This window comes from Homo sapiens, chromosome 4 (assembly GCF_000001405.40).
Source record: "Homo sapiens chromosome 4, GRCh38.p14 Primary Assembly".
In the NCBI taxonomy this organism is placed as follows: Eukaryota; Metazoa; Chordata; class Mammalia; order Primates; family Hominidae; genus Homo; species Homo sapiens.
Window position 1 is genome coordinate 143,463,154 of NC_000004.12, and position 11,708 is coordinate 143,474,861.

The 11,708-nt window shown below is 35.7% G+C and overlaps 1 protein-coding gene across 16 annotated transcripts in view; it reads left to right on the top strand.

The window, feature by feature from the left end:
• The window catches only part of GAB1 (GRB2 associated binding protein 1), a 137,690-nt gene extending 126,278 nt beyond the window's left edge, over positions 1 to 11,412 (top strand). For all 16 annotated transcript variants that reach the window (NM_207123.3, NM_002039.4, XM_047449969.1 and 13 more), the window contains 2 exons: positions 2,950 to 3,072; positions 5,878 to 11,412. In NM_207123.3, coding sequence (NP_997006.1) covers positions 2,950 to 3,072; positions 5,878 to 6,036 — 282 coding nt within the window. In that variant the 3' untranslated portion in view covers positions 6,037 to 11,412. The remainder of the gene's footprint in view (positions 1 to 2,949; positions 3,073 to 5,877) is intronic.
• The last annotated feature ends 296 nt before the right edge of the window (positions 11,413 to 11,708 follow it).

Here is an 11,708-nt window from a genome sequence, read left to right on the forward strand (position 1 = left end):
ATATTTAACAAACTTCTTTAATTTTGGATCAAAAATCATGCATTATCAAGTGAATTCTGAATGTGACACCTGAAATTCAAATGATGGTAAACCATAACTAAAGGCATACATACTGTTATGTGATAATAACAACAAAAATATGTTAAATGATTTTACATAATTTTTAAAGAATTTTTTAAAAATCTAGGCCGGGCATAGTGGCTCACACCTGTAATCCCAGCACTTTAAGGAGGCCGAGGCAGGCAGATCACCTGAGGTCAGTAGTGCGAGACCAGCCTGGCCAACATGGATAAACCCCGTCTCTATTAAAAATACAAAAATTAGCCGGGCGTGGTGGCAGGCGCCTGTAATCCCAGTTACTCGGGAGGCTGAGGCAGGAGAATTGCTTGAGCCCAGGAGACAGAGATTGCAGTGAGCCGAGATCAAGCCACTGCCCTGCAGCCCAGGCAACAAAGCAAGACTCCATCTCAAAAAAAAAAAAAAAAAAAATCTCACACTACTGGTTTGTTATTTAATTCAAAGAACACTTATAATACCTTATAGAATCTTAGAGTTTCTCTAAACTGTTTTGGGAAAATACTGGGTGAAAGGCTAGAATACAGACAGGCTGTTCCAGTGGAGATTAAATCAAGAGCAAATAGACTTCCTTGTAGACACACAAATGTTAACCATACTTAAAGATGGAAAAACATTCAGTTCTAGTAATAACAGACATAAAATAGGTTAACTAGCCACCCTGAGAAATTCTGTTTAGGAGCAACTTATTGGTATTATGCATGCAGGTCTTACAAATTTATGCATTTCTTTTATAGCCTTGTAATACTGTGAACAATTCTAGATATTTCTAATCAGAGAAATGGAGGGTATGGGTCTTTCATTGATCACATTTGAATATAGAACTTTTCACACACTCATGGCTGATTTTATGTGACAATGATATATAGAGTCATTCAGATAAAAAATTTCATGATGATTCCAGTTTCTCCATGAATTAGAAAGAAGAGAGGGATTGCTATTTATATTGAGGACCAAAACTTGCTTATATTTTTTGTGCTCTACATGTTATTTTTGATTTTTTGATTTTTTAATTTTTTCAGACAGAGTTTCCCTCTGTTGCCCAGGCTGGAGTGCAGTGGTGCGATCTTGGCTCACTGCAACCTCCGCCTCCGGGTTCAAGCGATTATCCTGCCTCAGCCTCCCAAGTAGCTGGGATTACAGGTGCCCACCACCACACCTGGCTAGTTTTTGTAGTTTTTAGTAGAGACGGGGTTTCACCATGTTGGCCAGGCTGGTCTCAAACTCCTGACCTCAGGTGGTCCGCCCGCCTCAGCCTCCCAAAGTGCTGGGATTACAGGCCTGAGCCACCGCGCCTAGCCATTTTATATATTTTTTTAATGTTTTATTTGTAGTAATTGATAAATTTGGTTTAAAAAATCTGTTTCTTCAAGTAGGAATATTACATTTAGTTGTACAGGTTGTTTACTGAATAAACATACTGCATACCTGATTATATGAAATTCAGGCTATGTGCTGCTCACCAAGCTGCAGTCGCCCACAGCACAGAGCTGTCTCACCCCAGTGCAAGAAGCACCTTTTAATAATTTGCAAAAAGGTTCCATACCAGCTATTAGCAGCCCTGCTACGAAATGAGAGAATAGTCTCAATATTTTCCTAGAAGTATCCTTTCCCTAAGGCACAGTTTTTTCTGTTTAACCTAAGCAAAAAGAAATGAAGTAGCAATATAAAAAGAATCAACAGAACCACCAGATGTATGCAGTTTTCAAATTGTTTTATTCATCATAACATGTATAAATTTTTAACTTTGTTAAATCATTATGATTTTCTTTAAAAGTATGAGATAATATATGAACATTAATATCAACAGTGCACAAGGATGAAATTCCCTAATGAGAAATACACAGTCTTGCGTATGAGAAGCCAAGAACATTTCTAGATGGGGTTAAAAGGAGTAAGGCATGGAAACAAGTCACTTGTTTGAGCACATGTATAATAGAACCCTGTTGTAATTAGAGTGGAGGGAATATATAGGGACTTAGGTTCATGCCAGCTTTTCCTTTCTATTTAGCATTGATCTTCAAGTGCCTATTTTTCATTTTTCTGCCTCAAGTTTTTTGTTCCTGCTGTTTATCGCTGTCATCTATCTTCCTACCTTCTTTCCCTTTTTTTAGAGAGTAGTCCTACTGTACAAATCATCTGAAATGGTTATTTACAAATTCCAGAGTTGTCTTCACTCTGCTCTCTTTAAAATCTTAGCACTATTTTTGTCCAAAATTTTAATTCTTTTTAAACCCAGAAGTTAGTAGTATTATTGCTCTTATTATATAAACTATGCTTATTTACGTTTTTCTGCATGTTTAGCAGCTTCTTTATCATTTCTTGTATTTCAGGCCTTCCTTAGGTAGTAATTTTCCTTCTCTCTTAAATACGTTCTTTAGAATGTATGCCTTTCAGGAAGGAAAAGATCAGGCTAAGGAAATTAGGTGGTAAAAAATCCAGATGATTGAAACAAAATACACTTAGCCAATGGAGTCAAACAAATTTTAGTGTGAAAGCCTTTAGATAAAACGTAGAAAGTTTTTTTAAAATTTAACTTGAAAGCAAGGAATATAAAGATCCTGTAAAGCATAATTGAGTACAGACATAATTTTAATAATGTTCAAGTTGGGCTATCATAGCTAAGTATCTCCTGATGTCTCAATCTTAGTGTGAACCAAGTTTAACTTTTGAAACTACGTTTAGCTTGCTCTAAGCTAGGCTTTAATCAGTTTTTTAAATATTACTTATTTTCTTTCTATCCTAAAAGGTTGTTTAACTTTTTAAGCTATGTCCTCTTGAAAGCAAATATTTAGGCTTCCGTAGATGTTCAACAGTACGAGTGGTATGTCTGGTGAATGTCTGACCGTTGATTTTGTTGTCTAATACTTTCAGAATCTCTTTGGCAGTAACAGTCTTGATGGAGGAAGCAGCCCTATGATCAAGCCCAAAGGAGACAAACAGGTGGAATACTTAGATCTCGACTTAGATTCTGGGAAATCCACACCACCACGTAAGGTGAGTGACATGTGACATGTCTCTTCTTTGTATACAGTTAGTTCACACTTCAAACCTGAAGAATTATTTCCTTTGGGATAATTTTATTAAGTTATGTTTAATATAAATTTAGTCTGGTCTGCTACTTGATGCTATCTCATAAAACAAAAATAACATAGTTATGGAGACTGATTATTTTTTCCTTTCTGATGGTTAGAAATTTTATACTTTCTACTTTTTTAGTGGTTACCATTGAAATAGTTATTTAACAAATTCTTTTTTTTTTTTTTTTTTTTTTTTTTTGAGACAGAGTCTTGCTCTGTTGCCCAGGCTGGAGTGCAGTAGTGTGATCTTGGCTCACTGCAACCTCCGCTTCCCAGGTCCAAATGATTCTCCTGCCTCAGCCTCCCAAATAGCTGGGATTACAGATGCGCGCCACCACTCCTGGCTAATTTTTGTATTTTTAGTAGAGACACGGTTTCACCATGTTGGCCAGAATGGTCTTGAACTCCTGACCTCAAGTGATCCACCCACCTCAGCCCTCCAAAAGTGCTGGGATTACAGGCAGGAGCCACTGCATCTGGCTGTTATTTAATGAATTCTAAAGTTAACCAGTCTAGTGTCTTTACTCTCCTTAAAATGCTCAAATTCTGTGCTATCTTTGTCCAAAATTTTAATGTTGTCTTTTTGTTAAGCCCACTAATTAGACAGTATTATTACTGCTCTTATTATATAACAATGTTTATTTACATTTTCCTACATGTTGACCAGCTTCTTTGTCATTCCTTCCTATTTCTCAGACCTTCCTTCTGCAATAATTTTCCCTCCACCTGAAATATACCCTTTAGAAGTGCCTTTAGTGGAGGTCATTGGTAGTAATTTTTTTCAGTTTTTGTATAACTTAAATGTCTTTATTTTGCCTTCACTCTTGGAAACACAGTTTTCTTGAGTTTACAGTTCTTGATCAACAATAATTTTCTCTCAGCCCATGGAAGATACTATCCCACTACTGTCTTGCTTCTATTCCTATGGAAAAATTGCTGTCAGTCTAATTGTAATTCCCTTGTAGATAATGTCTTTTCTGACTGGATGAGTTTAAGGTCATTTCTGTATCTTTGGTATTCTACAGGTTCACTACAATACGTCTAGACATAGATTCCTTTTTATTTATCTTGCTTAGAAGTGCTGCCTTCTTTTTGGATTCATATTTTTTATCAATTCTGGGAAAGTCTCAGTCACTATTCAAATATTGCTTTTCCATTTCTAAAATGAAATTCTGTTTGGGTCTTTATCAAATATGTCTGGCCAATTTACTGGCTCCTTTTTCAATATCTGAAGTCCTTGGAGGTCTGAATCTGTGTATATTGTTTCTCCTATCTCACACTCTCTACAGTTTGTTTCTTTGTGTGTTTTATATATTTTTATTGCAACCTCATTTTGTTGAACATATCTTCTGAGGACCTAAATTTCTTCTATAAACTATTTGTATTTGCTTCTGCTAGGAACCAGGAGGTGCTACCATCCTAGGACCACATCAGTTCCCTTCAGGGGTCCCTAGCTTGATGAGATATTCTCAGTTTCAGCATCACCTCCAATGCAGGGCCTCCTGATTGCATTTTTGAGATTGACATTCATCCTAAAGCCAACACCACGTTTACCATTTAGAAGCTCACCACTCCCTCTACTTCTCTTATACCTTAGACATTTCACTTTCTAGTGAGCGCAGCAGTGCATTGATAATTTTATTTAAATATCTATATCTTGTTGAATTTTAGGAATGAAAAGGCATCAGCTTATGTAGTTTGTCATTCTTGAAGTATAACTTTTCCAAAAACATTTCTTGTTAGCTCTCAAAGTAAACATTGATTCATGTTCTCAGAGGTTGAGAGACAGTCAAGCTTAAGTTGACAGGAGAATCAGGTTGTCTATGTTAAGATGAAACAGGCATCTGCTGTCCCTATTTTTTATGAATTTCATCTGTCATGGAAGCATTAGTTTGAATTCTTTTTTTTTTTTTTTTTTTTTTTTTGGACGGAGTCTTGCTCTGTTGCCCAGGCTGCAGTGCAGTGGCACGATCTTGGCTCACTGCAACCTCTGCCACCCGGGTTCAAGCCATTCTCCTGCCTCAGCCTCCCAAGTAGCTGGGATTACAGGCGCGTGCCACCATGTCAGGCTAATTTTTGTATTTTTAGTAGAGATGGGATTTCAGCATCTTGGCCAGGCTGGTCTTGAACTCCTGACCTCGTGATCCACCCATCTTGGCTTCCCAAAGTGCTGGGATTATAGGCGTGAGCCACTGTGCCCAGCTTTGAATTCTTAAATATAATAATTTTAAATTTAAGGCAAAAATAGTATATAGTTAGGAGAGAGACATTTTTAAGTTGAGGTAGTTGATGTTATTTTTTGTGTATGACCCAGAAAAATTTTAAGAGTATTCATGGCCGGGCATGGTGGCTCACGCCTGTAATCCCAGCACTTTGGGAGGCCAAGGCGGATGGATCTTGAGGTGAGGAGTTTGAGACCAGCCTGACCAATATGCTGAAACCACATCTCTACTAAAAATACAAAATTAGCCAGGCGTGGTGGCACATGCCTGTAATCCCAGCTACTCAGGAGGCTGAGACAGGAGAATTGCTTGAACCCAGGAGGCGGAGGTTGCAGTGAGCTGAGATCGCACCACTGCACTCCATCCTGGGCAACAAGAGCAAAACTCCTTCTCAAAAAAAAAAAGTATTCACAGTGGATGTGTTTTGTGTTTTAAGACTGAGTTGTACTCAGGAACACTCCTTTATATGTTGGACTTTTTGTTTTTTCTTTGTGTTTTAGCAAAAGAGCAGTGGCTCAGGCAGCAGTGTAGCAGATGAGAGAGTGGATTATGTTGTTGTTGACCAACAGAAGACCTTGGCTCTAAAGAGTACCCGGGAAGCCTGGACAGATGGGAGACAGTCCACAGAATCAGAAACGCCAGCGAAGAGTGTGAAATGAAAATATTGCCTTGCCATTTCTGAACAAAAGAAAACTGAATTGTAAAGATAAATCCCTTTTGAAGAATGACTTGACACTTCCACTCTAGGTAGATCCTCAAATGAGTAGAGTTGAAGTCAAAGGACCTTTCTGACATAATCAAGCAATTTAGACTTAAGTGGTGCTTTGTGGTATCTGAACAATTCATAACATGTAAATAATGTGGGAAAATAGTATTGTTTAGCTCCCAGAGAAACATTTGTTCCACAGTTAACACACTCGTAGTATTACTGTATTTATGCACTTTTTCATCTAAAACATTGTTCTGGGTTTTCCCAATGTACCTTACCATAATTCCTTTGGGAGTTCTTGTTTTTTGTCACACTACTTTATATAACAATACTAAGTCAACTAAGCTACTTTTAGATTTGGAAATTGCTGTTTACAGTCTAACAACATTAAAATGAGAGGTAGATTCACAAGTTAGCTTTCTACCTGAAGCTTCAGGTGATAACCATTAGCTTATACTTGGACTCATCATTTGTTGCCTTCCAAAATGCTGAGGATAATGTATGTACTGGTGTCAGGACCTAGTTCTCTGGTTAATGTACATTTAGTTTTTAATGGTGGAACTTTGTTATATTTTGTTAATTACAGTGTTTTTGGTTCATTGAGTGAAGATTCTGCCGGGTGGGATCTTGCACCTTTGAAAGACTGAATAATTACACTACCAAGTAAGCCTGCAAATCATTGATGGCATGCAGTGATGATGTGCTCTTACACTTGTTAACATGTATTAAGTGTTATTTGCAAAAGGTAGATTATGTAACCAATCAGGTACGTACCAGGCAGTGATGTGCTAATACACTGATCAGGTTTAGACAATGAGCTTTGGTTGTGTTCTTGTTAGTCCTAATATTGGTTTTCAGTTTGGAATTAATAAAGCAGTTGACATTCACTGTTAGTTACAGCAACATACTGTGATTTTTAATTAGATAGTAATTCAGATTTATTACTCTATGAAATTCTGTCTTTTGACACCATAGTGCCCTTTCTATGATTTTTTTTACTTAATATTCTTCTTGGCCTTATATTTAATTCCCTATGCAATTAATATTTTATATCTGCATTTTTTTAAAAAAAATAGATGTTATATAAGTGATTCTCGTATGTAGCACCTGTTGCTTTTCCACTGAAAGAATTACGGATTTTGTACTGTGATTTATATTCACTGCCCCAATTCAAGAAATATTGGAGCCTTGCTACAATGTGAAATGTTATAGTCATGGACTCCTTCCAACCAGATTTCTGAAAACACCAGAGGGATGGTATAATTCTGTCTCACCTATAACATGGTCCTGTGACATAGATATTAAGACCACAAGTTGTAGTGAGGCTACAATTATATTCGTCTGTCTTGGCTTTGCAACATAATTTAGAAAGCACGTATAGTTGTTTTTTAACCAAGTTACATACAATCTCATGTACTGATTTGAGACTTATAACAATTTTTGGAGGGGGCATAGAGAAAGGAGTGCCCACAGTTGAGGCATGACCCCCTCCATTCAGACCTCTAACTGTTGCCTGAGTACACAGATGTGCCCTGATTTCTGGCCCATTGGCCATAGTACTGTGCCTAATCAATGTAATAGGTTTATTTTCCCAATCCTCAAACTAAAAATGTTCATAACAAGATGAATTGTAGACTAGTAACATTTGATGCTTTTAAATATTTGCTTCTTTTTAAACAAAAACTAAAACCCAGAAGTGAATTTTTAGGTGGATTTTTAAATAAAAAAGATTGATTGAGTTTGGTGTGCAAGCTGTTTTATAATGAAACAACAAAATGAAATCTAAAATCCTGAAATGTGCCTAAACTATCAAAACACACGATACAGCTAATGTGTAAAGATGCTAAATTCTGTTACTTGGAGGATGAATATATTTAAGATTTAAAACACAATAATAAATACATGATTAATTCAAAAATAAAAATCTTTACAGCTGCCTATCAAGGGTCTAAAGCACTTAATGAATGTTTTTAGTCTAACTTATCATTAACTTTTTACAAGTCACCATATTTGAAGATCTGTAGCACTCTGATTTTCAGAAAATTTTTCATTCTGAATAATTTAAAAATGGTGATGTATTAGAAAGGCAGTTTGCTTTAGAAAACTAAATCACATTGAACATTGTATTAGAGAATTAAATTAAAAGTTTCTTACAGAGCAGTATTTTCCAAACATTTTTAGCACTAGAATCTTTTTAGATGAAATTTTATGTATAACCCCAATACATAAAGCCTGAAAACTCAATTTTATCAATATAAATGTATTTTGGGTTCACATTTATGCTTATTCATTTTGGCTCATTACTAAGCATAATAAGATTCTGAGTTATTTCTGAATAACACAAATGTGGAGTTATACATAGTTGATGAAACCAGCAGCCAATTTATAGCTATGCCCTGTTTTATTTGTATACTATCAAGAAAATTTTGATTCACACAAATGTAAGCAAAAATAATAGGTTTTAAACATACATCTCAGGAAATTCTTTAATTAGAGATAGCTAAAGTTATTCAAGGTCTATACAAAAATAAGTTATCCTGGTAGTGGAAGTTAATACATAAGCAGTCTCCAGTGTGGTAAAGTAGGGTATGTAACACATCAGAATGTGCGTTTTTATTAGGTTTTAAAATATGCACGTATAAAAACTAAATTTGAATCAAACCCTTTTAACTCACCTCCAAGAAGCTAGACTTTGGCCAGGAATGGGCTAAAAACCACTGGTTAACGATGTGACAGTTATGATCTTGGAGATTGGAAATCTTTCTTCCACATTAGAGTTCTTTACCTTAATTCCTTATTCTGAAAAATTGTAAGATTTTATGAAGGTTTGAATACTGAAGCACAGTTCTGCTTTCAAAAATTAAAATTCAAACTTGAAAAAGCTGTTTAACCCATGGAAGATATCATTTAGTAAGATGTAAAAGATTTTTTAAATCTACACTTCAGTTTATACATCTTTATCATTATCAATACTATATAAGTTACTGTGAGCATTTTAGAGAATTCCATAAAGGTACTATGAGTGTGTCTGTATGTGTGTGTATATATAGCATTGTATTTAATCATAGACTAAATTTAATTTGATATAGAAATACTACTTTACTTGTACATTAAGGTCATAATTTCTGCTGGACTCTTTTATATTTAATTAATGGGGATTATAGTCTTCCTTCATAAATGCATTTAAACCTGAAATTGAACACCAGTGTTTTTCTTTTTCTACTTATGGGAAGTTGTCTGCTTCCCCCTTTAGAGAAAACAGTATTTTTATATTTTGTTAAAATATTAACTACTTTATGCCTACACACTATGCTGTAGATACTGATCATAATTCTTGGGTGTTCACAAACACTCCTAGTGCCTCTTTTTTGGCCCGTTGAAAGTGTTGGTATTACTACTTTCACTACAGAGCCTTTGGCCCTCTAATAATGCTGAGGTGGGCTGATCCTTCCCATTTCTGTCTTCGGGTCATTCTGGTAGGTCTTCTCCTCCACTGTCAAGTAAGCAATCAGGTCCGTGACAGGGATTGGACATATGAACAAATTAAGTGGATACACACAGTGAGAAAGATACATGCATTCTATGGTAACAACTACTGTCAATAACATCTGATGTTACATGCACATTTATATATATATAATTTTAAAAACTGAACTATGAGAAGCCATGGTATAAATGAATATTGTGGACATCATGGACTTGATATGATAGAAATCAATTGTCAGCTTGAGAAAGTTGTTTTTAATCTGTCTAAATAGTTCATGCATTACTACAGTTAAAAATAGTTTCATTTGTCTTCTATAGACTTAATTTTATTCCGGTTCAGTATAATCTCTGTTAACAGAGTTTCAGCAAACTGATTGGTCAAGGTATTAACATAGCTTCTACTTCCTTTACTTAAAAAGATGTGGTTTTATGTAAGTTCTTGATTACTGATGATCATCCCAAATTTTGACAACAAAATCATATGTATAAATTTATTTCTCCCCTCTTGTTCATCATCTTTTGTAAAGGTCCCATTGTAGATCTTTTCTGCTACCAAATAAAACTTTTCAAACAATTTGGTTTCAAGACCTTAAATAGACAAGTTGGATACTAAGATTGTGAACTGATAAGGACATATAAATTTATATTTCCAGCCCTTCCTTAGAGTCTTTATCTGCATCAAAAACCCAATTCTGCCATTAACTGTGCTTCCCAGTCCCACCTCTATATGTCACTCATTTTCTGCAACAAAGATCTCACTAAATCATGTTGAAACACAAGTCATGATCCTCTCTAAGTAAATAGAAAAAGCTCCCTGGAAAAACTCTGTTGCCACATGCACGTGCCCTGTTACTCCTCCAGCCAGCCAGTGCTGCCAGCATTTTATTGTGTAAAAGTCCAAATAAATAAGGGCCTGCATGCAACCTTTATCTTCAGAAACTAGGTTTTATATGTAAAATGTGACTTGGGAAATGATTCTGTTTATTAACTGGCTGGGATTTTTCATTTCTATGAAAGTTTCAAACATCTCCAGTACTTTATAAAATCCCAACAATTGCTGTAAGTCAGCACTTTGGTCCACTCAGCCCACCCAGCCCACTTGCAACTCTGACTCTTCACTGAATCATATTTGGGAAGTTTGGGTAGGGTGAGGCTATCTTCTTCAAGATTATTTTCTCATATGTCTGTCTGTCACCTTGTAAACCATGAGACTCCTGGGTATTTGCATGTAACTTCTTTGAGGAAGTTACCACCATCTCTGATATAGACACACTTTTTGAGTTGCAGTTTCTGTTAGAATTTTTTGGAGACTAACTTGCCAATTCTGTGAATGTTATTGAATATTTAAAAAGCTGGGTCTGTAATGGGAGGCATTTTATTAGCTGTTGTGATTGGGTAACATGTCCCCTTAGATTTCCTGATTTAAAATTATACAAAATTACTATTTTTGATAAAATAAAGGAACACCTACAGAAAATTAAGTTTCTAAGATGTTTCTATACTTCATTAGAAAAGATTTTATTACTATTACTTATGGTTATTGGTGATTAACACTTAATGCGTCTCCTCTGATTTTGTGTTCCATGAGGTGCTTGGAACATTTGGAGTGCTCTGTGCGAGGGACATACAGTGATATAGGAAATTTAAAAATTAAAATAATACCCAAAACCCACTTTATCAGATATGGTATTGTGATGGTTAATATTATGTGTCAACTTGGTGAGGCTATGGCGCCCATGTGTTTGGTCAAACACTAGCCTAGATGTTGCTGTGAATATATTTTGTAGATGTGATTAACATTTACAATCAGTTGATTTTAAGTAAAGCAGATTCTCATCCATAATGTTGTTGAACCTCATTCAATCAGCTAAAGGCCTTAAGAGCAAAAGCCAAGGTTTCCAAAAGAAGTAATTCAGCCTCAAGATCATAACAAATTAATCCTAAGTTTCCATCCTGCTGGCCTGCCTTCTTGTAGATTTTGAACTAAAGAGTGCATCATCACCTCTTACCTGATCCAGTTTGCTGGCCTACCCTACCAACTTCAGACTTGCCAGTTCTTACAATCCTGGAGCCTTTCTTAAAACTAATTCTCTCTGTCTCTCTCCATCTCCCCCGTGTGTGTGTGTATATATATAT